The sequence below is a fragment of the Homo sapiens genome, chromosome 1 (assembly GCF_000001405.40).
Source record: "Homo sapiens chromosome 1, GRCh38.p14 Primary Assembly".
Classification (NCBI taxonomy): Eukaryota; Metazoa; Chordata; class Mammalia; order Primates; family Hominidae; genus Homo; species Homo sapiens.
The window spans coordinates 158,781,996-158,809,629 of record NC_000001.11 but is presented as its reverse complement, the minus strand read 5'-3'; the positions used below and the strand labels follow the sequence as shown (position 1 = coordinate 158,809,629).

The 27,634-nt window shown below is 38.2% G+C and overlaps 1 protein-coding gene and 2 pseudogenes across 3 annotated transcripts in view; 2 read left to right on the top strand and 1 right to left on the bottom strand.

Moving 5' to 3' along the window:
• OR6N1 (olfactory receptor family 6 subfamily N member 1) overlaps positions 1 to 27,634 on the top strand; it is a 76,161-nt gene that overhangs the window by 30,767 nt on the left and 17,760 nt on the right. The window contains exon 1 of one of the 3 annotated variants that reach the window (XM_017000327.2): positions 25,595 to 25,633. The exons of 1 other annotated variant lie outside the window; for it this stretch is intronic. The gene's annotated coding sequence lies outside the window, so the exon portion shown is untranslated. Of the gene's footprint in view, positions 1 to 25,594; positions 25,634 to 26,053; positions 27,142 to 27,634 lie in introns of those variants that run through there. One more of the 3 variants, XM_017000326.2, reaches the window with a different exon arrangement.
• OR10AA1P (olfactory receptor family 10 subfamily AA member 1 pseudogene) lies at positions 295 to 1,228 on the top strand (annotated as a pseudogene).
• OR2AQ1P (olfactory receptor family 2 subfamily AQ member 1 pseudogene) lies at positions 13,392 to 13,632 on the bottom strand (annotated as a pseudogene).

Genomic DNA, 27,634 nt, shown 5'->3' with positions numbered 1-27,634 from the left:
ATTGGATGGTGGAATAGGGGAGAAAATCACTGAGTCACTGGAGCATAATATTATAACATAGAAAGGGATTAAAATGGGATCAGGAGCCTTGATTTCTAGTCCCACACCTGCTACCAACAGACTATGATATGGGGCCAACCATTTCTGCTTTTGGGGCTTCAGTTCCTCTAGTGTAAAGTGAGGAACATTGATTAGATAATGTCTCAAGTTCCTTTTAAGTGCTCAGATTTTACGAATAGAGGAAGAAGCTTGAAGTAATTTATATTCTATGTTTATCGCTTGTTCCTAGGAATCATGGATCACGTCAGTCATAACTGGACTCAGAGTTTTATCCTTGCTGGTTTCACCACCACTGGGACCCTACAACCTCTTGCCTTCTTGGGGACCCTATGCATCTATCTCCTCACACTTGCAGGGAACATTCTCATCATTGTCCTGGTACAGTTAGATTCTGGACTGTTCACGCCCATGTACTTATTTATCAGTGTCCTCTCCTTTGTAGAGGTGTGGTATGTCAGCACCACAGTGCCCATGCTGCTGCACACCTTGCTCCAAGGGTGTTCACCCGTCTCATCAGCTGTATGCTTTATTCAGCTATGTCTTTCATTCCTTAGGGATGACTGAGTGCTACCTGCTGGGTGTCATGGCACTGGATAGCTACCTTATCATCTGCCACCCACTCCACTACCACGCACTCATGAGCAGACAGGTACAGTTACGACTAGCTGGGGCCAGTTGGGTGGCTGGCTTCTCAGCTGCACTTGTGCCAGCCACCCTCACTGCCACTCTGCCCTTCTGCTTGAAAGAGGTGGCCCATTACTTTTGTGACTTGGCACCACTAATGCGGTTGGCATGTGTGGACACAAGCTGGCATGCTAGGGCCCATGGCACAGTGATTGGTGTGGCCACTGGTTGCAACTTTGTGCTCATTTTGGGACTCTATGGAGGTATCCTGAATGCTGTGCTGAAGCTACCCTCAGCTGCCAGTAGTGCCAAGGCCTTCTCTACCTGTTCCTCCCACGTAACTGTGGTGGCACTATTCTATGCTTCTGCCTTCACAGTATATGTGGGCTCACCTGGGAGTCGACCTGAGAGCACAGACAAGCTTGTTGCCTTGGTTTATGCCCTTATTACCCCTTTCCTCAATCCTATCATCTATAGCCTTCGCAACAAGGAGGTGAAGAAGGCTTTAAGGAGAGTCATGGCTGGGCGCGGTGGCTCACGCCTGTAATCCCAGCACTCTGGGAGGCCGAGGCGGGTGGATCACGAGGTCAGGAGATCGAGACCACGGTGAAACCCCATCTCTACTAAAAATACAAAAAAAATTAGCCAGGCTCGGTGGCGGGTGCCTGTAGTCCCAGCTACTCGGGAGGCTGAGGCAGGAGAATGGCGTGAACCCGGGAGGCGGAGCTTGCAGTGAGTCGAGATCGCACCACTGCACTCCAGCCTGGGCGACAGAGCAAGACTCCGTCTTAAAAAAAAAAAAAAAAAAAAAAAAAAAAAAAAAAGGCAGTCATTGACAGGATCAGAATTATTTTAAGGGAAGCTCAATGATCTAATTTGTCATAGCCCAGCTTGTTGGTAATTGTGAGAATCAGCTGGTTGGCTTGTCAATCATGTGGTCAGAGTCAAAGAAAATACCAGTAAAGAAATAAAAACGATCAGTAGTCAAACATGCTGCACACACCCATGCCTGAATTGGTGAAAGCTGGAAGATGTAAAGAGAAAGGGGTTATGGTCTCTGATTTCCCCATTCTAATGGGAAAGAAATGCAACAAAGGGAGGAAAAACAGGGATGCAAGAACAAGTGGTTAAGCTGCATTTATGACTTAGAGAGACAGTGCAATACAGAAAGAAAGAAGATAAATTAAAGCTAGGAGTGGCAGATTTAGTCAAGATAAGATTCTTGGAGAAAGGTTAAGAAGGTGGAAAACTAGGTTGGCAAAAAGGAGTCTAAAATGTTAACTTGTATAAAGTTGCAGATGTAGATCAGCGCACCATGAGCAGAATGCTTATCTATTTGTGGCATCCAGGGATTCTGGGTTATTATGTGACCAAATGTAGTTTGATGGAGAAAAAACCTGCAGTTCTGATCACGCTTCTTTTCTCTCCAGCTCCTCTATTGCTTCCTCTGCTGAGCAGAGTAATCTCCCATTCCTTGATGGTGTCTGAACTGGGGGCCAAGTACCTGCTAGAGTATGGTCAGATAAATTAGTGAGAAAATAGGACCAGATCTTGGAAGAGACTAAGTATTGCCTAATCTTGAATACTTTCCATTTTCCTCATTCCTACAGATCTTACTGCTTTATTTTATGTATGTCTGTACTATGCCAGAAATAGTTACAGCTGCCTTCATGTTTTTAAAAATTTAATCTTTATAATATCCCTCTGAAGAAGGAAGAACATCCCAATATTTACGTAATAAAATTATAAAGATTATTGAACTTGCAGTAAAGACAGACAGATTCAACCCTAAATCCACTTCAGCTGACTGAGTTACCCTCCTCAGCCTCATTCTCTCTGTCTGTAAAATGAAAGGCTGGCAATGAATGAGTGCTCACATTCCTCTCAGCTTAGGGAGTTTTGATTCTATGCTTACAGTACTTTTTTTTTTTTTTTTTTTTTTGAGATGACGTCTTGCTCTTGTCCCCCAGGCTGGAGTGCAATGGCGCGATCTCAGCTCACTGCAACCACTGCCTCCCGAGTTCAAGCCATTCTCCTGCCTCAGCCTCCCAAGTAGCTGGGATTACAGGCACCTATAGCACTTCTTAAGGAAAGCAGGACCTGAACTAGGTCCAGATGTGTAAGATCTGAATTTGCAGAGCAGAGATGGAAAGGTGTTGGTACAAATTCAGGTGTTGCCATTTTTGCCTCTATGATTTTGGGCAAAAAACATAAGCTCTCTCTAATGCCAGATTTGTTTTCCTTTAAAAAAAAAACTACATCAAAGTGTTCTAAAGTTAAATAACACATACTAAGTATTTCATAAGCAAGTTAGTCTCAGCATACCAGAATCAGGACAGTATAGTGCTTACACCACGGTCTTTGAAGGCTCTCTGCCTGTGTTCAAAAGTCAATTCTATCATTTATTTGCTGTGTGATCATATGCAATACACTTAAATTCCCTCCACCTCAGTTCCCTTACATGCAAAATGGGGACAATAAAAGAACGTTAAGCATGTAAATATTAATCATTGTTACTTCAGAGTTTTCCACATAAATGTCTTCAGTGGGGATTTATTTCTTTGATAATGCTTAGTTTTACAGCTATCTCACATTGTTATTACAATAGACTTGGTAACTCTCCAAATGAGGCATCTTCTTTTGACCTAAGGGTCCAAATTTATCTTGTCATAAACTGAGTAGTCCCTGCTTTCAAGAAGTCTATGCTGTTTCCCAAATACATGGTGCAAAACTCTATTCTGCTGACAGTCTGAGTCTACTGCTTTTGGGCTCCTTTTCTTTCTCTCCTTCTGCACCTCACTTCACTCAGACTACTCTTTTTGCAGGAACTATTATGGGCCCAACAGAAACTCTTTTTTCCCTGTGGTGGCAGCACTAGAAGATGGCTTAAATTGAAATGGCTTAGATCACATTAATTAATAGGTAATTATAGTAATAATAATTACTAAAACTGTTATAGCAATTCTTGATAATTACTAATATCTGTGGGGTGCATACTGTGCAGTGAACATGGGGGACTTACCATCCTGTAGTGAAGACATAAGCAGTCATCTAACAACTCAAAGTGGCTTATATCTCACTATTAATTTGTACTACAATGCATGGTATCCACTCATATTTGAACAAATGAATGAATGAACAAACTCTTAAGAGTCAAATGGGTGTGATAGAGATTGAGTTCCCCTCTTGAAACTCCACCAGAAGGTATTTTTTTAAGATCCATTTATAGCTGCAAACTCCCCTTGCCTTTCATTCTGTACTCTATTCTATATTCTTTTTTTTCTCTTGAGACCTCCTTGGGTATTTCCTTTAGAACATAAAGTTCAGGTCATCTTTAGCGCAGAGCTTCTCAACAGATATAAATAACAGATGTGCTGAGTTACTGAGTCCTTGCCCCTAACACACACCCTATGAATGGTCAGATAGGACCTAAGGGAATTGAAGTCCTTGGACTGGTTGCCTCAAGCAGTAAGTGGCCTTTCTGTTCACCTCAGTGTGTCCTACAGATACCATCACTTTTATAAGCGCTATGATATGAAAATAAAAGTTTGAGAAGTAGTGCCTTAGTGTGACATATTGGGGTAAGTGCCCAAGGTGAGGTCCAACTTTTGGCCACTTCTCCCATGGTGACAATTGGATATTGACTCTAGCAACATAGACAGTAAGAAGCAGTCACGTCTGAAAGGCAGCATAATCAGACCATTCACTTGGTACTAGCATCAAGGCTGACATTCTGTCATACAGGACATTCAAACTCAAGTACATCAGAGAACAAAATGAAATACTATCAATGTATCCAGTGACAACAGATATAAACCACAGTTGTACTGGGCAAACAAGGGCATGTGACCTTGATGTATCACTTCATTTACATAGTTGTTTTAAAAGTTTATTTGCTTCAATAAATAATATCTCTAAAAGGTTCAAAAATTCATCTTATGTGTGAAGTTGAAATTTTTTCTTACATGTTTAAAAAACTTATATTTTAAAAAATAATCAGGTGATTTGAGGATCTGTCTCCTCCCACTCTATATAATAAATATCTTAAGGGAAGCAACAGTGTTATACGCATCCCATTTTCTCCAGTTCCTAGAATAAAGTCTGGGACATAAAAGCTGTTTCAAAAATGTATTAAATAAATAGATAAATGAATTATTGTGAATTTCCCTATTTCTCACATTATGTTAGTTGCATTTCATATCATTTTTTTCCTAACATTTACAGCACATTTTAAAAATAATGTATTACATATAAATATAGGACATTAAATGTTTAGGTAAATAAAAATTTAAATTACTTATAATCCCATTACTTCAAAAATTATTTCTCTATTTATTTCTAAATTTTAGTAAGCATATGCTGTTTTTCCAAATAGTAGCAATGATACTATGAAAATTTGAACATGCTGAATACTACTTTTATCACTTAAGCTTTTAACAAATAATTTTAGATCTCACCTTTCTCCTCAAATAATGAATTGCTTGATGAAGATATCAGTGTAACCACAGAACCAGTTCAATCTGGTTTAACTTTGTCAATAACAAAATACAACAAAATGATGACTTGTTTTTTAGTTGCAATGGACCCTCAGGTTGTATGTAACCCAAGTGTGCCCAGATGAACCAAGTGTGCCAGATTTGTGACCCTGGAGCCAACCAGAACAAAAAAGTAAACCACATGCAGAACCTAAGTATTCAGACCAAAGGATGGTGATCAAATTAAAAAGGAAAGGAGACCTGTTTTGTTGCAGCACAATCCTAAAAGTCAAGGACCTGGCATAATCTCTTCTCAGGAACCAATCAGATAACGCTTTGTTGCATTTTCCTATCTCCCTCTTAATTGCTCTCTGCCTATAAAACCTGTCCCCAGACCTCAGTTAGGGGAGACAGATTTGAACATTGCCTCCTGCCTCATTGCTGGTCAACCTTGAAATAAGGCTTCTTCTTTCTTAAAAACTGGTGTCACAGTATTGGCTTCTAAGCTCATGGGACAGTGAACCCATTGCACAGTAATACCAGAACTTGTCATTTTCCCTCACTCTATTTCTGATACAGAATAAATGCCAAGTAAGCACTCTTTACTGACAAGTGGTGACATAAAAGAGAAGAAACAATGTTCTTGACTAGGCAAGAACTAAACTTGGAAGCCTTGATTGTTTAGTACGCATATCTACACTAACTGATTCTAGGTAATGTTTACAATTCTTATGCTCAGGTATTTGTCATGTTGATAGCCTTCTGAGGGATCATGCATGGGCATTGTAATTTATTCAGTCAATGCCAAGCCATACAGGTATACAGTTAGACAATACAAATGATGCAGAAAGTCTGTCTCAGAGTCTGGCTCACAAGAGGAAAAGAGGAACGTAGGAACACCAATGTGATGTGATATAGGGAGGAATAAAAATGAGTATTAAAGTGGCCACTTTGAGTACAGCACAATTATTCATTTGAAGAATTGGGATAGATGGCTAATCTATATATCCATGAAATAAAAATGAAAACAAAAGATCTGTTGGTGCTTGAGACTGTGGGAGATGCAGTAATTTAGTGAAGGATAGTTTCAACTATCCATCTTTGTGAAAGGTTAGGTATTTCAGAGTAAGTGGGACATAAGCTAAATGCTGATTAAGGTTGAATGAGACCCTCATATTGTCCAAAAATTTGAGAGACTCTTTCAATCCCAAAGTCACATTAGTACTCTCAGAAACAAATATCTTCCTTTCCTTTGGCTCAGAAACTTTCCGTCTCCTACAGGAAAGCTTTTCCAATTTGAACTCAGAACACTTAGTATTTTTCTTCCGTTTAATATGATTTACTTGTTAATCTTTTTATGGTTACCTCCGTATCTTAAATTTAATATAGCAACTGCTTTCTTTCCACCTGATTCTGAAAAATAAAAGTACATTTGGGGCTATGAATGATTCAAATACCTTACTTCTGATAGATAAATGCTGTAATTCCATTATTCATCTGGACTCCATATCCATCTAAGTACATGCCCACAGAGAACACACAGCTGAGATAAGAGTTCAGATGTCAAGATTAGGATGTTGATGAACATATTGAGGATATGGATATAAGTAAAAGTAATAATGAAAAAGTAGATTAGTCTCATGAAGATGCCTGGGTAATAATAATGGTAGTGATAATGTAAGTAATGGTAATAATACTGGTGATGGAGACTTAGACAAGTGTATTAGGTATTCAACATCAATCATTTGGAACAATGGCTAAAGATAGCTGACATGGCAAAGGGAGGGACAGTGGTGAGAGTAACAAAGGTAGAGATGGTAAGCGCAAAAGTGATAGTGGTGCCTGTGCTGTGATAATATGGTGATGTGGTGAGGTTAGTAGGGATGGATGAGAAATCTCCTTGCAAAAAAAGCTTTTAAGATGAAACTCACCTCTGGGGTGCTAAAGATGTGATTCTTCATGTATTCAAGTTGGATTGTCTCTTCTCATGAAAAGCTATGACGGGGAGGCCAAGGCGGGTGGATCACGAGGTCAGGAGAGCGAGACCATCTTGGCTAAAATGGTGAAACCCTGTCTCTACTAAAAAATACAAAAAATTAGCTGGGTGTGGTGGCACATGCCTGTTGTCCCAGCTACTTGGGAGGCTGAGGCAGGAGAATCGCTTGAACCTGGAAGGCAGAGGTTGCAGTGAGCCGAGATCGCTCCACTGCACTCCAGCCTGGGTGACAGAGCAAGACTCCGTTTCAAAAAAAAAAAAAAAAAAAAAAAAAAGTGCTATGAGGGACTTGCAGAACTTCTAGAGTCCCAGAAGAGGCAGTGTCCCTGGGATTGGATTCTAGAGCCAGTGAGGGTTGCAGAAAAGCCATTTGAAAGAGAGTAGGGCTGCTTTACTTCTCTGTGTCCAACTTCCTACCCCAGAGGAGCACTTACAAAAAACTTTACACACTTAGCAACTCCAGAGAACATATAGCAAGGAGCCCCTGGGAGGTCAGCATTTCCAGGAACATGAAATATAAGTAGGGGAGTGTCTTGGGGTAGAAAAGATGCAGAGGAGGATGTTGTAAATTCTAATGTCATCAAAACCATCAGGTAATGGGCAGGGGTGGTACAGAAAAGATTAGAGTATCTAAAAAAGAGAACTAGGTAAAGGCTTTGATCTTTCCCAGATAAGGACTATTAGAATATGGAAAGAAAACTCCAGGGACATTGATATAGACCACCCAACTCCATATCCACCCTAGAAACATTTTTCAATGGCTTTAGAGATCCACAGACTACCAGGGTGGTGAGGGGCTTTATACAACATTTATATAGAGAAGGGGAAGTTGAAGTAAAGAAAGGAGAAATGGTTAAGCCCAATGTTCATTTTGAGTTAGTGGCAAAACAAGTTTACAAAGTCAATTTAGAAATAGAATGCTTTTTCTGTTGCGCTACAGCCCTTCTAGACCAACAATATAGGGGCCTTAGCTTACCAATTCCTCTCTCTCCTCATTCCCTTTGAGAATTCCTGATGCATGTCTCCCTTAGGAATCCTTCTTTAAAATGTACTTTGTCTGTTCATTGATTCTTCATGTAACCCTGCAGTTCTGACTTTGACAGATGGGACATTTCTTTAGGGACTAGATGGATACTTTTCTGTCTCTCCTGTTTTCTGGCAAGGTGGGTGGGAAAAAAACCCCGGCATTTAACAATTTTGTTTTAAGGAGCCAACCCACTCTCTCTCTCCCCACCGCCACCCCCACCTTTTTCTCTTCTTCACATACACACACAGACAGACCACACACACACACACACACACACACACACCAGTATGTGCAGCAACATACTGACTAACACCAAGAAACAGACTTTTTTTCATTTTGTTCTATGTACTTTTGTGATGATGGGAGGTCATGAAAAGTGGTGGGAAGGAGTGCATGGATTGGTGAGAAGTGAATGAGCAAAACAAAAGAAAGTCTCATGGAAGTGTAGAAGTGTATTGTGATCTCTTCTCATGCCTTAGACTTTAGAATGCTAACTGGGCACCCAGTTGCTACTTCTCTGAAGGTTCTCTGAAGACCAAGCGTGGAACTGTAGGATCCTACTAGGAGATTCCCTGTCTGAGGATAACATAGCCATAGCTTATTGAAGATACAAAAAGAAAACTTATTTTTGAAATAAAAACTCTCTGGACAACCTTTTAAAATTTCTTTTTAGTGATAGCGTAAGTTTTGGGTTTCCTGTTTTTGAAAAATGATGTTGAAATGCTTTCTTTCCAAATGCAGGGATGACTTTGTATTTATTTTAGCTTATTTTAAGAGAAAAGATATGTGTAGAGAACAATGTGTGTGGAGTAGCATACAGCAGCATTATCTCCCTCTCAATTTAGTAAATTTGACTAAGATCACAGAATGTTCTGGGGTCCCCACCTATTAAATGTGGATAAGTTGTCCAATTTGAGGTTTTTCTATGGCAATATACCCTCAGGTAAATTTTCTCTGAGCATCCAGCTCAGATACGGACTATATTCTCTTTTCTGACATTTGGTGGATCCTAAATAAAGGCAAACCAATTTTAATATTGTCAAACCTTGAAAATTAATGTTGTGGAGAAAAACAACAACAGCAAAATAGTAGAAATCAAATCCTTGATTTTTTTTTTCTTTCCTAGGTAAAAGCAACTTTTCCTTTGTGGTATGGGGTAGATAGGTTCAACTGTTGGGGTAAGCCAAGACAACTTTTGAAGACTTGCTTTGAGCAAACACCATTTGCAGCTAGGTGAATTCCACCAGGAAGTCACTGAGAATCATTGAACTTCTGATTTAAACGGTGCTTAAGAAGTCATCTGGTCTAAACCCCTCTGTCTTTACAAAAACATAAAACTGAAATCAAGAGGTAGGGAATAACTTAATTAATTAAGGTTACATGGCAACTTAGAAACAGACTGAGAATGGGATAGCACCAACGTTTTCTAACGCTTTCCAGTATACCTTTTGGCTTCTTTTTTTTTTCCATTTTATCTGAAGTAGAAAGCCTCTGGCACCAAGCACCATGCAACACATGTAGGCGGGAAAGCAGATACAATGAGTCATAGACTTCTTCTAGGGCCCTATCTTCCCATAGAGTAACTCATATCTGTAGACAACATGGCTGGCTGTGGAGGTTCACAAGTCTTGTCCAGCCACCCTTTCTTCTCTCAGACTCCTGCAGTCTCAATTTTCCTTTCCAGAAGTAAGTTTGGGTTTCATACTACACAAACCATCCCATGATGTCGCTTAATTTTGTGATCCTTGATTATACAAGGATCCCTGACTACACAAACATACGATTTATAGTTGGATGTCCTTTGTCTATTTTCTCATTAAATCTCCCACAGAAGGTAAATAGATAAATGTCTTTTCAACATTAGTTAGTAGGTAGATTCTAAACTTAATCCAAAAGATTTAACTTTCATTTAAAAACCAAGAGGATCTAATCATGTTGACTGAGTTTTCACCCTCCTTACCATCCCTGACAACTGTGGGTTTTTAGAACATATATGATCCCACAAGTCAGCCTACATATGACCTTTCACTTGAATGACCTTCTACTTAAACGTAGGCTAGAGAGAGAAAATCCTTTTAAACACGATTTATATGAGCCTGCAGAGTAATTATTGGGAAGGTATTTTTTGTCTATGTTTATTAAGGTCTAAACGTAATGCCAATATTTTATGGGTACGTTCGTCATTTCTTTGGCTAACGTGGTGAACAAATCATACAGTCTTTTTAAGCTTTCTCCAAACATTGACTAGGTGTGAGATAAATGGGGATCAAGTCACCTGGAATCTTCTCAGGTAAAAACTTTAGCAATAGAAAAAGATTTTTATTTTAATGAGAAGGTCTATTTCAGATCAACTAAATTAGATACTTTGAAAGTGGGGTCTAGTAATTGGTGTTTTAATAACTTCAGGATGTTATGCATGCAAGTTAAAGTCTGAGAACCAGCCGTCTACTCCAATTGGTGGGACTGGAAGGGGGAACTGGGCATATGTAGCACAGTTCTTTCCTGTGCTCTTCTCCCAGGGAGCCAGCCTGCCCGGTTTGTGTGTTCTGCTCTGCTTTCTGCCATGCAGTGGAAGGAGGTCTGTGGCTTTCCATGCTGCACAGTAATCACGTAAAAGCACTGTAAGGAAAATTAACACGCCCACTATCAGAGTAAGACATTTGAAATCTCTCCCCTTAGGAATAAAAACACCAGGCAAATAAATCATAAGTATATATATAAATTATTTGTAGAATAATTAACAAGGTCCACCTACTGGAGGCACATGGAATAAAGATTGATTTCAAGCACAGTGGAATTAAACAAATGCTTGGCCATAAAACAAGTGTCAATACAGTTAATAGAATTAATAATATTAATATAATATAGACCTCTGCTTCTACTAGTGATATAAATAAATTAGAAATAAATAAATGATAAATTTCACATGTCCATATGTTTGATATTTAAAGAAAATACTTCCATACAACTTACTCTCAGAAGTATCATAGGAAAAGTAGAAAACATCTATATCTGAACAATAACAAAAAGTATAATTTCAAAATATTTGGGAAAAAGTGCTTTTTAGAAGTTTATAGCCTTAAATTTAATATTATTTAAAAAGTATAAAATTAATTAACTAAGCATTCAAGTTTAAAAATTAGAAAAATAATGTTAGGGCAAAAAAAGAAAGTGTAAGAAAAAATCTGGGAGCAGAAATTAATACAATAAAAATAAATATATGACAAAAATGATATACTAATAAAAATGTTGGTTCCTAAAAATAAAAATAAACTCCTGACAAGACTAATAAAAAATAAAGGAGAGAGAGGGGCAAAAATAAGAAAGATTAAGAATGAACAATTGGCAGAATTACAGATGCATCAAAGTTTAAAGTTATAATAACATATTACTAATAATATATGCCAGTTAATTAAAATTTTAAATTGGCTGGATTCATTTCTAAAAAATTATAAATTAGAAATATCAACATCAGAATTAATATAAAATCTAAATGATATTAAATTAGAAGTTAAAAAATCACTAGAAAGAAAACATCAGTGGCAGCTTGCTTAATAAGTGAGTTCTATCTAATATTGACGAAAAACATAGTTCCTATTTTTACATTCTTCTGAGAATTAAAACACTGGCAATGCAGCTCAACAGTGCATTTTACAAAGATAGCCTAACAGTGATTCCAAAATAAATAAAACTAGTAATGTGAAAAAATAGATGATAATATCATTCATTAACATATATGCAAAAGTCTTCCTCCAAATATTCCTAAGCTAAATTCAATAATCCCAGTTAAGAACAAAACAAGATTAATTACCAATATTACTTTTATTTAATATTGTACAGAAAAAATATGACTTAGGTCACCAAAATGATAGAGTAGAAGCAACCTGGCTCCACTACCCTCGATCTCATAGAAAATAAAAAACAAACAACAAAATATACACATACAGTGCAGAAATTATCACTAGCAATATCCCAGAACCCAAATAGAAGGATGAGATAGTTTCTGGGGTTGCAGAGAAGTAAAAACGCTGTGCAGAGGGTGATAGAATCGGATTTTTATAAGTATAACGCTTTCCCCCCGATTTGTCATGAACCAGGCATTTGGGAAATTTCCCCTGATTCACAGTTACTACATTGGAAAAGGTAAGTTCAAGATGGACAGCCAGCTTTCTCAACATCTTGGGTTTCCTGGCAGGAGACCTGTTCCTGCCTCAACACACAGAAAGGTGCACAAGTACTTGAATGGAGAAAAATTCCTGAAGAATGACAGAGACAAAGGGGGCAGGTGGGGCTAGCAGCATCCCCAGCCTGGGAAACTCTCTGTATCTTGGCTGAAGGAGTTGCCAAATTAGAGTGTTCAGTAGAACCTCACTGTAGGAGGTATGTTCTGTTAGTCTCTTGGGCACAAAATCCTAGACAGCTTTCCCATTCTGCTGCATTATCCCCTTTGGGACCTCCCCCATCCTGGACAGGCAGCACTCTGAACACCTGCTAAAACAGAGGTAAACCTGGACTTAGTTGCCACTTAGTGCTGAAAAGGAGGCAGTGACCTACAAAAAAAAAAAAAAGGTAAGTTGTAAAGAAAACGCTAAGCAAACATATCCAATAAAAACAAAAATATATCAGATAAAGGAGACTGGAATAAATAATTTTTCAATTTAAAGACAAATGTACATACACAAACAGAAAATCATGAGCTCCCCAAATTGACAAAGCAAGGAACCAGTAACCAACACTAATAAGACAGCAATAGGGAAGTTCCCTGATTAAGAATAAAGAGAAGTTTTAATAAAACTCAAAGATATTCAAAATAATACAAAAAAGCAATTTAGAAATGTATCAGAAAATTTTAACAAAGAAATTGAAATAGTGAGAAACAAATCAAATAGGAACCCTGGAAATTAGAAGTATATTTGCTAAACTGTAAAATTCTTTAGAGGCTCTCAACAGCGGAATGGATCAGGCAGAGGAAAGAACCAGTGAGCTCAATGACAGGGTGTTGGAAAATACACAGTCAGAGAAGAAAAAAGAATGAAACTAAATGAAGGAAGCCTACAAGACATAGAAAATTACCTCAGAGGAGCAAATCTAAAAAACTGAAGTTCAAGAGGGAGCTGAGCATGAGCAAAGAATAGAAAGCTTAACAAAAAGATAACTGATGTACTTTTAAGGTACCAAATAAGACCCCTCCAGGTTGCCCATGATTATGGAAAACTCTGAAGCATACTAGGTCCTTGAGCTGTCCCTTTGACTCTAAGTACTTTCCAAGAAGCCCCTTTTACATCCTTGTTCCTGAGGCTGGAGATGATGGGTTTTATGAAGGCAGAGACAATGCTGTAGAACAGCACCAACTGTTTTCCCACTGTAGGTTATACTAGGAGTCAGACCTCAAGTACGTGATCATGGCGGGCCCTTAGAACATGGTGACCACACTTTTACTTTTTTTCCATGATGGCAGGTTGAAGGCATTGTTAACGTGATTCTACCACTTAGAAAGACAAAATGGTGTGTAGAGATTCATGCTGTGGACTTTTTTCCAAGAAGCAGCACAGGAACTTAACAGGAAAACTGAAAGAAGCCGCAAACTCTGTGAAAGAAGTAGTGTGCAGCAGCCTACACTGTGAACCAGACAGAAAACTGAGTCTCCAGAGCATAAGAAGTGGGGAGACCGCTGTCATGACACACATTCCCACAGTGGGGAGACTGTTGCCATAACACACATTCCCAGAGGGGAGCTGGGCAATCCAGGCCATGGGGGAAGGCCTTATCCCTACTCAATGCTGGGGCTGATTTAGGGAGCAGTGGGCAAAATATGAGAAGGAACAACATGGGGACATACTTTGCATGCACTCCCAGATGCCACTGGAGATGGAGGGAAGCCATTCCTGATCCTACCTCACAAGGGACCTTGCAGAAGTCTACTGGCATCAGGCAGTGGTCACAGGTTGAGAGAAGCTCTCAACTGAGATTTGCAGTATAATCTGAGTAGGGGTGAACCACAGTGGCCAGAACCAGCAAGCAAGTGAGAAGTGTGCTACAGACATGGGCACAGAAGCTGGATGCCCCTGTGTTATGAGCAAACCAGGAGGGGTGTGGCCTGAAAGCCATGATTTCTGTCTCCCTTGGGAAGGCTTATGGTTTGGGGCATAAGTCTTCTGAGTGAAGGCTGCCTGGAACTCAGCTAGCTGCTGCCAGCAAAACACTGTGTATGTGAGACCTGACCTGCCAAGTGTGTGAGAGCTAAGTGGGGCTTATTTCCACTTACTACACCCCCCTGCCTGTTTGGAGTCTTTTGTGCAGCAGAGGAAGCTACACTCTTCCTTGGAACATTACCCCAGCAGCCAGGGAACTGCCCTCTGGGGCCACTGCCTGCACCCACATGTGGGGAGCCAGAGTACAGACTTACCTGGCTCAGCCCCCCGCCTGGCTTTGCCCCTAGATCCACCTTGGTAGCGTAACACTATGTATAAAGATGTTTAGGAATTCCATGGGAGCTTTGGGACACCCACCAATTGCTTGAGATGCCAGACCACCTTCCCTGGGTAACATATGGCAAACACAAATTCCACTGCCATTACTGCAGCTGATGTTCTTTTACGGGTACCACCTCCTGGTTGGAAGCAACCAGGACAGCCTTTTACAACATCTGGAGGCAAAATAACACTGTGTTTAGGAAGGAGGAAACTTCTGTGTAATTTCTGCTATTGCCATTGACTGCATCATCCTGGCTAGCCAAGAGGTCTTGAATCTATCCACATGCTCAATACATTATTTCTACAGCTGACATTCAAGAAAGCCAACACACTAAGGCTATTTCTAACTAAGGAAACCTTAGAGTCTACTAACTTCTTATCCCCGTAAGAGCTGGTGCTGGTACCTGCTGCTGGGAGACTAGAGGAAAGATCATATCACAGGATCCCTTGCAGACGCTCCCTGGCAACAGCGTGGAGTGTGGAATCCCCACTGGGTGGCTCGACCCAGAGGAGCAGCAGGATTCGTAGTAGTCTGGCCCTCAGGGATTGCTACTCCTAGGGGAAGGGGGAGTGCATCACACTGAGAGATCATCCCATGAGAGAGAAGAGGCCATATTGCAGGCCTTAAGTCCCTGAACTTTCCGCTTATGGGATTGAAGAGGCACAGGTGCAGTGCTGGGCTAGTTGGGGAATGTCTTTAAATCTACTTTGACAGGCAGGCAGCCCTGACGCTTGTGAAGAGTGTAGGAGAAGGGGACTTTTCTCCCCAATGATTACTACTACAAACAAAGCTGAGACTTCTGCTATGGGAAATCAGCATGGGTGCATCTGTAGACAGCCTTTCTGAAATACTTTGATGTGACACATCCCCATAGGAGGAGTGCCCTCCAGGTTCAGGCTTGCATGAGAGGTAGAGTCACTATCGCCCTCTACATAGAACATCAGGATTCCTGCAGATAAAAGGAAGTGCCTTTCTAATCTGAATAGCCGGAACATCAGCTTAGGAGTGTGGGTGGAAGAAGGATCAATTTTCCGATGGCTGGGAAGGAGAGCTGTGGTGGCTCCTGCTCCTCCTCCTGAAAAGACCTGGTGCATCTCACTGAGAGATTCTGCAGCTACCTCTATCAAGGCTGGGACCTCTGCTCACCATTGAGGTATTGCATTTACCCACCTGCTTTAGCTGCAGCTGGATCTTACCCATGGGCACCTCCTACTGGCCTGAAGCCTAAACTGTTCAACCCAGTGAATAAAATACTAGGAAAAAAAATTTAAAAAGTGCACACCACTGAGGAATAAAATAAGTTTCATGAGACCTCTGACATTCCAGCCCCACAGGAGACAGTGAACCTGCTTACACACCCAGCACATAGCTACTACAACCAGCATCTGAGAAAGTTACTGTACAAAGATTCTCTATAACCAAGAAATTCATAGAGTCTTTGCCATTGAAAATACACATAGCCAAAGCCAAGTACCAACAAACTATAAACATTGAAGTCACATCCTAAAGGGGAAAATATAAATTTAAAAAACTCAGAATCAAAACTAAGTTGAAAAATAATTAGAAGAAATAGTCTAGCAAAATGTGAAGGAACCCAGAAATAATAATTATGGCAATATAAAAAAACAGATTTCTATGAAACTCACAAAAGATAACACTAACCCTCCTGCAGTGGATTCAAACCAAGATGAAATCTTTGAAATACCAGTTAAGACATTCAAAAGGTTGATTATTAAGTTACTCAAGGAGATACAAAAGAAAAATGAAAATCAACATGAAAAAATAAAAAAAAAACTTCAGGATATGCATAAAAAATTTTCTAGAGAGACTGATACTTTAAAGGAAAAACAATGAGAACTTCTGGAAATGAAAAACACATTTAAGGAACTGCAAAAAGCAGAGAAAAGTTTTAACAGTAGATTAGACCAAACTGAAAAAAGAATTTCAGAGCTCAAAGGCAAGGTTTCAAAGTAACCCAATCAGACAAAAAGGAAGAAAAAAGAAATGAACAAAGTCTCCAAGAAATATGGGATCATGTAAAGTGGCAAAACCTAATAATTATAGGTGTTTCTGAAGTGGAAGAAAAAGCAAAAGTTTGGAAAACCCATTTCAGGTAATTGTTGAGGAAAACTTCCCTGGCCTTGCTAGAGATTTAGATGTTCAAATACCAGAAGCTCAAAAGCATTAGGTAACCTATAAAAGAAAACCTATCAGACTAACAGCAGGCTTCTCAGTGGAAATCTTACAAGCCAGAAAAGACTGGGGTCCTATCTTTAGTTTCCTTAAACAGAATAACTGTACTGTCAACCAATAATTTTTTACTCCATAAAACTAAGTTTCATAAATGAAGGAGAAATAAAATCATTCTCAGACAAACAAAAGATGAGTGAATATGTCAACATTAGACTAGCCCTGCAAGAAATGCTAAGGGGAGTTCTAAATCTTGGGAAAAAAAGGTTAATACACATCAGAATAGAAACTCCTAAAGGGCTTATAAAATAATAACACAGTGAAGAAAACAGTCACTAGGTAACAGCATGATGCCTGGAACAGTACCTCACATCTCAATATTAACATTGAATGTAAATGATCTAATTGCTCCACTTAAAAGTTTCTGATTGGGAGAATGGATTAAAAAAATCACAAATCACATATCTGCTTTCTTTAGGAGACACACTTAAAATGTAAAGATTCTTATAGGCTCAAGGTAAAGGGGTGGAAAAAGTATTTCTTGCAAAGGGAAACTAAAAGGGAGAAGGAATAGCTATTCTTACATCAGGTATAACAGACTTTAAAGCAACAGTAAAAAAAATACAAAGAAGGTTACTATATAATGTTAAAAAATAAACTCTCAACAGGAAGATATAACAATCCTAAATATATCTGTATCTAACTCTGGAGTCCCCAGATTTATAAAGCAATTACTACTAGACCTAAGAAAACAGATTGACAGCAACACAATAATAGTGGGGTACTTCAACACTCCACTGGCAGCACTAGACAGATAATCGAGGCATAAAGTCAACAAACAAACACTGGACTTAAACTGTGCTGTAGAACAAATGGACCTAACAGATATTTACAGAACTTACTACCCAAGAACTGCAGAATGTGCATTCTCCTCATTGACACATGGAACATTCTCCAAGCTAGACTATATGATAGGCCAGAAAAGAAGTCTCAATAAACTTTTAAAAATCAAAATTGACCGGTCACTGTGGCTCACGCCTGTAATCCCAGCACTTTGGGAGGCCGAGGCAGGCAAATCACGAGGTCAGGAGATCGAGACCATCCTGGCAAAAATGGTGAAACCCCATCTCTACTAAAAATATGAAAATTAGCTGGATGTGGTAGCGCATGCCTGTAATCCCAGCTACTCTGGAGGCTGAGGCAAGAGAATCGCTTGAACCCAGGACTCGGAGCTTGCAGTGAGCTGAGATCGCGCCACTGCACTCCAGCCTGGTGACAGAGTGAGACTCTGTCTCAAAAAAAAAAAAAAAAAAATCAAAATCATATCAAGTATCTCCTCAGATCACAGCAAAATGAAACTAGAAATCAATTCCAAAGGAACTCTCAAAACTATAAAAATACATGGAATTAATCTGCTCCTGAATGAATTTTGAGTTAATGAAATTAAGAGAAAAATTAATTTTTTTCAAATAAATGACAACAGCAACACAAGTTATCAAAACCTCTGGGATAGAGCAAACACAGTGCTAAAAGCGATGTTTATAGCATTAAAGGTCTATATCAAAAAATTGTAGATTGCGTTGGGCAATTTTTAAAAAAATCCTCAACAAAATAGTTGCAAATGGAATACAACAGCACATCCAAAAAGTAATTTGACATGATCAAGTTGGTTTCATTCCAGGGATGCAGGAGGATTCAACATACATAAGTCAATAAATGTGTTTAATCGCATAAACAGAATTAAAAACAAAAACCTGTGATCATCTCAATAGATGCAGAAAAAGCATTTGGTAAAATCCAGCATCACTTTACGATAAAAACCCTCAACAAACTAGGCATAGAAGGAACATACCTCAACATGGTAAAAGCCATATATGACAAAATCACAAAACCACCTCCATGGTCCAATCACCCCCATCTGGTCCCACCCTTAACATGTGAAAATTATTACAATTTAAGATGAGATTTTGGTGGGGACACAGGGCCAAAACCATATCACTCATGAATTAAAAAAATTAATACTATTAAAATGTCAAAGCTATCTAAAGCAATCTGTAGATTCAATAAAATCCCTATCAAAGGCCCGGCGCAGTGGCTCACGCCTGTAATCCCAGCACTTTGGGAGGCCCAGGCAGGTGGATCACGAGGTCAGGAGATCGAGACCATCCTGGCTAACACGGTGAAACCCCATCTCTACTAAAAATACAAAAAATTAGCCAGGCGTGGTGGCGAGCACCTGTAGTCCCAGCTACTTGGGAGGCTGAGGCAGGAGAATGGCATGAACCCGGGAGGCGGAGCTTGCAGTGAGCCGAGATTGCGCCACTGCACTCCATCCAGCCTGGGTGACAGAGCGAGATGCCGTCTCAAAAAAAAAAAAAAAAAATTCCCTATCAAAATACCAATTGATATTCTTCACAGAAACAGAAAAAAACAACCTAAAGTTTATATGGAACCAGAAAAGACCCCAAATAGCCAAAGCAGTTTTGAACAAAAAGAACAAAGCTAGATATATCACAGTACTTGAATTCAAAATATACTACAAAAGTATAGCAAGCTAAACAGCATGGTACTGACATAACAACAGATACATAGAGTAATGGAACAGAAAAGAGAATCCAAAAATGAATACACACATTTACAGCCAACTCATTGTTGACAAATACACCACGAACATACATTGAGGGAAGAACAGTCTCTTCCATAAATGGTGCAGGAAAAACTAGATGACTATATGAAGAAGAATGAAACTAGACTCCTTTCTCTCACAACATAAAAACATTAAATCAAAATGCATTAAAGACTTAAATCTAAGACTTCAAATGACAAAACTATCAGAAGAAAACATTGGAGAAATACTTCAGGGCATTGGCCTGGGCAAAGATTTTTGTGTAAGACTTCAAAAGCACAGGCAACAAAAACAAAAATAGCCAAGTGGAATTATATGAAGCTAAAAAGCTTCTGTACAGCAAAGGAAACAATCAACAAAGTGAAGAGACAACCCACACAATGGGAGAAAATATTTGCAAACTATCTATCTGACAAAGGGTTAATGACCAGACTATATCTGGAACTCAAATAACTCCATAGTAAGAAAACAGATAATCCAATTTTTAAATGGGCAAAAAAATCTGAATGGATATTTCTCAAAAGAATATATATAATGGCTAGGAGTTATAGAAATAAAAAGCTCAACCTCACTATTGATCAGAGAAATGCAAACCAAAACCACAATGAAATATCATCTCATCACAGTTAAAATAGCTTTTATAAAAAAGAGAGGGTAAAATGGATGAGGATGTAGAAAAAGGGGAATGCTCATAGGCTGTTGGTGAGAATTTAAATTAGTACAGCCACTTTGGAAAACAGTATGGAGATTCCTCGTAAAACTAAATACAGAACTACTGTATAATCCAGCAATCCCACTACTGTGTATATATTCAAATCAAGGAAATGTATTGAAGAGATATCAGCACTCCCATGTTTATTGCAGCACTGTTACAATAGCCAAAATGTGGAATCAGCTAAAGTGTACATCTGTGGATAAGTGGATTAAGAAAATGTGGCATATACACACAATGAGATACTATTCAGCAATAAAAAAGAATGAAATCTTGTCATTTGCAGCAACATGGATGGAACTTGAGGTAATTGTGTTAAGTGAAAGAAGCCTAGCATGGAAAGACAAATATCACATTATCACTCACATGTGAGAGGTAAAAAAGTGGATATCATGAAGATAGAAAGTTGGTTGTTGGTTACCAGGAAAGGTAGAGGGTGAAGGAAATAAAGTTTATTACATATTTTGTCAATTTCTATGGTATTTCCTTTTTTGGGTTTTTAGAAATATTCTAACTTCTAAATAAAAACAGAAAAGCTAAAATGAGGCCCTTCTGTCATCCTTCCACCTCAAGTCAAAGGTTATGTATAACATAAACATCAAGTTGGATAGAAAATAAAGATGATTGTGCTAATAATGAAAAAGGAAATATTGATTAATGGGTACAAAACTACAATTAGACAATAAATAAGACCTAGTGTTTGATAAATCAGTAGGGTGACTGTAGTAAACATTAACCTAGTGTATATTTCTAAACAGCAAGAAGATAATAATTCAGATGTTTCCAGCTAAATAAAGATAAATACTTAAAGTGATGGCTATACTAATTACCATAATTTGACACATTACATGAATGTATCAAAGTATCACATGTATCCCTCAAATAGGTACATCTATTATGTAATGAAAAGTATGTGATAAAACAAAAATATATACTGTACAGGATATACTATCTAATATATAAAATAAGCAAAAATAGTAAAGATATTAAAAATATAAATACATGCTTTATGACATCCTAGAATCTACTAAATAATGTCTTGCAACTGATGACAAACATGAAAGTTTACATTTTATATGTCTAATAAAAATTAACAGCAATACTGCCCTGACTTCTCTCCTTGAATGCACAGAAACAAGATAGATGAGATCTGTGCTTATGATAGACTTCTAGGCAGACTTAACATTAATCCCATTTAAGAACTTTTCTTAAATTTTATTAGTACACACAATTGTGTAGTTTACAGGGTCTGACATAATTATATTTTTATGCTTCTTCTATTAACAATAATCAACAAATTTATAAACATTTCTAAACAAATTTTGATTTCTGAAGGATATGCTTTATATTTTTCTTTCAGTTATAGCTTATCTCCTCTTAGTAGGTGGGCTAGTCAGACTTTTTGTTTTTCTCTTTCAAAAGGAGGCTTAGCATTTCCACTGTGATCACTGCCCTTACCAGGTCTGCTCAAATTATCTCTGCCATCATCCTGTCAGACAAAGGACACTGCCTGCGTCTTCTGAGTTCCAGGATGCCTGGTGGATATAAGGCTCTAAAAGTCTCTGTATTAGTAAGTGCATTTAAGTCTAAATAAGAGAAAACTTGTGGGGGAATATGTATTTCCCTAAATGCACTGGGGATGTTTTCACTGGAGAAATATTTTCTGAGAAAGGGAGAGATATATTTTCAAGAATCAGGTCAAATGAGAGAATTCTCAAAATACCAGAACTGGAGAAATACTATTCAAAATAAAATGTTCGTGTGTATTTGTGTATGTGTGTGTGTGTGTGTGTGTGTGTGTGTGTGTGTGAGAGAGAGAGAGAGATAGAGAGATAGATAGAGAGAGAGAGAGAGAGAAAGTATATACATGTAATGGTTTGCTAAACTGCAAGCCTGTATCCAGCTAAGGCCCATGGACCAAACAAGATAGTTCGTTTTTGTAAATAAAATTTTATCAGATCACAGCTACATTTATTTGTTTACATATTGCTGATGGCTACATTTGTGCTACAAAGCCTGAGCTTAGTAGTTGTGACAGTGTATTTGGCCTTTCTTGGATTGTTATAAAGAAATACTTGAGACTGGGACTTGAGATTAATTTTTAAAGAAAAGGGGTTTAGTTGGTTCACAGCTCTGCAGGCTGTATAGGATGCATGATGCCAGAATCTGCTCAGCTTCTGGTGAGCCTTCAGGAAGATTTCAATCATGACAGGAGGCAAAAGAGGAGCCAACATGTCACGTGGTAGAGCGAGAGCAAGAGGGGGAGGAGATGCCACACACTTTTAAGCAACAAGATCTCACAAAAACACACTATGGAGAATCGCACCAAGCCATGAGGAATTCACCCCCATGACCGAACATGACTCAAACACCTCTCCCAGGCCTCACATCCAACATGAGATTTAGAGAGGACAACATCCAAACTCATTACAGTTCAACATGAGATAAAAAAAAATCAATAGTATTTGGAGTACAGGTGGTTTTCTGTTACATTGATAATTTCTTTACTGGTGATTTCTGAGATTTTGGTGCACCTGTCACCTGAGCAGTGTGCACCATACCCAATATGTAGGCTTTTATTTCTCATCCTCCTCACCTTTTCCCCCCTGAGTCCCCAAAGTCCATTGTGTCATTCTTATGCCTTTGCATCCACATAGCTTAGTTCCCACTTACAAGTGAGAACATATGATATTTAGTTTTCCATTCCCAAGTTACTAGAATAATGGTCTCAAGCTCCATCCAACTTGCTGCAAATAACATTATTTTGTTCCTTTTGATGGCTGAGTAGTATTACGTGGTGTATATATACCACATTTTCTTTATCTACTTTATCTACTGGTGGATGGGCACTTAGGTTGGTTCCATATCTTTGCAATTGCAAATCGTGCTGCTACAAACATGCAGGTCCATGTCTTTTTCAAATAATGACTGCTTTTTCTTTGAGTAAATACCCAGAACTGGGATTGCTGGATTGAATGGTAATTCTACTTTTAATTCTTTAAGGAATCTCCCTACTGTTTTTTATAGTGGTTGTACTACTTTACATTCCTGTCAGCAGTGTAAAAATGTTCCTTTTTCGCCACATCCCTGCTAACTTCTATTACTTTTTAACTTTTTGATTATGGCCATTCTTGCAGGAGTAAGGTGGTCTCTCATTACGGTTTTAATTTGCATTTCCCTGATAATTAGCAATGTTGAGCATTGTTTTCATATATTTGTTGGCTGTTTGTGTATTCTTTTTTGAGAGTTTTCTATTCATGTCCTTTGCCAAATTTTTGATAGGATTATTTGGTTGTTTTGTGTTCCTTGTAGATTCTGGATATTAGTCTTTCGTTGGATGCATAGTTTGTGAATATTTTCTTCCACTCTGTGGTGTGTCTTTTTACTCTGCTGATTATTTCTATTGCTGTGCAGAACCTTTTAGTTTAATTAGGTCCCATATATTTATTTTTGTTTTTGTTGCATTTGCTTTTGGGGGTCTTAGTCATGATCATGAGATTTAGAGGGGACAACATCCAACACGAGATTAAGACGAGGGCTTGAAAAGTCTAAAATAATGACTACATGGCCCTTTAAGAAAAAGTTTGTCTGCTCCTGCCCTAAAGTATTTATTAGTATCCTGTATAGATAGGTAAATTTCATATTGATTAAATTATAATCTCAGGATAAATTGTATTCTCAGTACAAATTAATAAGTGGTTACATATTATTTTTATGTTAGTTTTCAACTTGGTATCTCCCCACTGATGAGTCTGAATTCTGAGCCAGCATCCTTAGGTACTTTGCACAATGTCTCTCCTAGCTCTATGTAGTTATTACTAGGGCTCTTCACTTTTATTTCACTCTCCCTGCATGATTCCAGTCTTAAGAACATATCCTGGATACACTTTGGGGAGAAAAATAAAAATGTGGCTTGGATGAGAGTATTGTTAGGAGAATTTATAGGTAGATGCGTAACTTTTCCTAAAGAATGTCTGTTTAAAAATGGCTTTCAAGAGAAGGATCTAGGAGTCTGTCACAGTAGTCTCTACTCAACAGTAACACTCAAAAGTTAATAATCCAGATGGGAACCTAAATACTTGTCAAATTTTAGTTAATATATAATAGTTTAATACATAAGAAGGAAGATGACGGAATAAAAATCTAAAAATACCTTAAAGCACTAGGAAAATATACTGAATTTCACAAGATGAACTCTAATGAAAGCACAAAAGGGTTTTGTATTTGGATATCAAAACAAAAAAAGCAAGTACTGTGTCCATAAAAAATTCTCCAAAGAAGTAGAGAAAGAGGAAAATGTGGTTTAAATCTATTCATTAAGTGAACTGAATATGTTTTATATGACAAACACTGGGTCAGGCAATAAGTATGTAGCACTGAACATGCAAATATGGAACAAAGATGGCCTCTGCCCTCAAAAAGCTTACAGTTTAGTTTGAAAGCTAGATATTGATGGAAACTTAGGTTGATTCTATATCATGGCTATTGTGATTACTGGTGCAGTAAACATGAGAGTGCAGATATTTCTTTGATATACTGATTTTATTTATTATGGATATATAGCCAATAGTGAGGTTGCTGAATCATATGGTGGTTTTATTTTTAACATGTTGGGGTCTATCAACAGATAAATGGATAAAGAAAATGCAGTGTATATATGCAATAAAATAGCATTCAGCCATAAAAAAGAATGAAGTCCTGTTATTTGTGGCAACATGAATGAACCGAGAGGACATGATGTTATGTGAAATAAGCCAGGTATAGAAAGACAAATATCACATAATATTATTCGTATGTGAAATCTAAAGAAACTGATCTCATAGAAATAGAAAATAGAATGTGGTTACCAGAGACTAGAGAAGAAAAGGGGAGGGTGAAAGATGGGAAGTCGATTAAAGGGTATGAAGTTACAGTTAGACAGGAGGAAGAAGTTCTGGTGTTCTATTGCACAGTAGGGTGACTATGGTAAACAATGTCATATTGCATATTTCCAAGTAGCTAGAGGAGATGATTTTGAATGGTTTCACCATAAAGAAATGTTACAAATATGAGGAGAAGGATAGGCTAAATACCCTGATTTGATTATTACACAATGTATACATATATCAAGACATCGCACTCTACCCTATAAATATGTACAATTATTATGTGTCAAAAATAAAACAAAAGAAAGATGGATACTCAATGAATTATTAGAAATGGGATGAATACAGTAATACAGAGTGTTCTGAAAAACTATAACAGAAGAATCTGGCCTATCCTGGTTGTAAATGTTGTGTACATATGTGTGGGTGGAGAGGGGTGGAGGAGTCAGACTAGCCTTTTCTTTTTTTTGTTTTTTAGAGGGAGTCTCGCTCCGTCGCCCAGGCTGCAGTGCAGTGGCGAGATCTCGGCTCACTGCAAGCTCCGCCTCCCGGTTTCATGCCATTCTCCTGCCTCAGCCTCCCGAGTAGGTGGGACTACAGGTGCCCGCCACCATATCCGGCTAATTTTTTGTATTTTTAGTAGAGACCGGTTTTCACCTTGTTAGCCAGGATGGTCTCGATCTCCTGACCTCGTGATCCACCTGCCTTGGCATCCCAAAGTGCTAGGATTACAGGTGTGAGCCACCGCGCCCAGTCCCTAGCCTTTTCTTAATTAATGCATTCAACAAATAGTTATTGTATACCTACTTTGTGCAAAGAAAATAATAGGAATTGAATGATGGTGTTGAAAAAAATACAGTCCCTGTCTTCATTGACCTTATAAATTATTGGTGAAAAGAGAGAAATAAACATGCAAGTATATAATTAAAATATGTGCAGTTGTTATGAAAAGAATGACCAGGATGCAATGAATAGAATAAGGCTTGGAACATAGAATGTTTAGACAGAGTGGTCAGGTAAGACTTCTTCAAAGAGGTGATGTTAGAGAGGATACCAGAAAGATAAACAGGTGTTACTTGGTGAAAGAGACCCAAGAACAGGAAGAGGAATGTATTCTACGAGTGTTCATGCAGAGGGGAGTGTGATTTTAAAACTTAGGATATTTAGCTCATTTCTATTTTCATATGAAATATCTTTAGCTTTGTTGTTCATTTCAGAGAGAGAGAAACAGTGATGAACCAGTCTAAGAAAGAGGGACCAGTATGCTGAGGGCACTTCAACGTACAAGTAGACAAGTTGGAGGCCATTTAGCTGGAAGAAAATTCATCAAGGCAGGGCATGAAAGCTGGGTTCTAGTATTGGCAGAACTTAGTATTATGTTGGATCCAGCAAGTTGCCATAGGACCAATGAGGGGAAGTGACAAGGGGGGAAGTAACAAGGCAGGAAGTGACAAGGAGATGGATTTCGTTCATGAAAACTAAATTTTGAACAATGCAGAGTTACATGTTTATTGTGATTGTTTTGCAGTACAGTTCTCTAATAGGGAACGTTGTCAATTAATGTTAGAAACACTAAAAAGGAAAAGAGTATGATGGGTAGGAGGGAGACAGACTTAAAGTTTATGAATCACTTACTATGTACAAGACTTTGTATTTTGCTCTTTATGTATTTTATCTGAGCAAAACACAAGCTAGCTCATGATGTTCTCAAAGAATACCAACATCAGACAAAGTCACTCTGTGACCACAATGAAATGAGAGGAAAAAAAATACCACTTAATAATCCTAATTACGTATAACACTGTACAATCAGAAAAATATATTGTCTTCTAGCTAAAATGAGTGACTGATATGATCTTTCTCAATTACAGCTTTAGTCTACCTTAACAAGTAAGATTCATTAAGATACCTAATCATGGAATTATTTCTAGTAATTGACAGGACCAAATCCAGAGCAAGCTTAGCTTTCTTGAACCCTTCCTCCTCACCTAAAATTGCCTAATATGAGCCCACATCCTATAATAATTTCTATCTAACACTCTCTTACAGAAATGTCCCACAACTCCAGTGGTGTGTGATCACCCACATTGCAGTGAGTCAATAAACCTAATTTTGTTAGATTATGGGTATGTTCCTTTCTTTTGCTGGAAGGCCTTGTCCTGTCATTTAATTCTCAAAGCAACCCAAATATGTTCAGTTTAAAGGTAAAGAAAATAAGGCTGTGAGATGCTAAGTCACTTAGGCAAAGTTAATTATTTGGAGAAGTTTAGTTGCCAAACAGGTATTCCATATCTGCAACATGAAATGGGAAATGTAAACTAACACACTTTAAAACTATTATAGTTAATGTTTGCATTTAATCTTACTTAATTCTCACAATACACATTTATACATAATAAAATACTGGTTCAAATAAATACACAACTGCCTGAGGGTACATAGGTAAAGAGTAGCAGTTAAGAGTACAGACTTTAAAACAGGTGACACTTTATGGTAGTGTGACCTTGGTTATGCTCCTTTGACCATTAAGAACATTTCTGAGGCAGTGGAGCTTAGAGGTGATGATCATGGACTCTGGGGTCAGA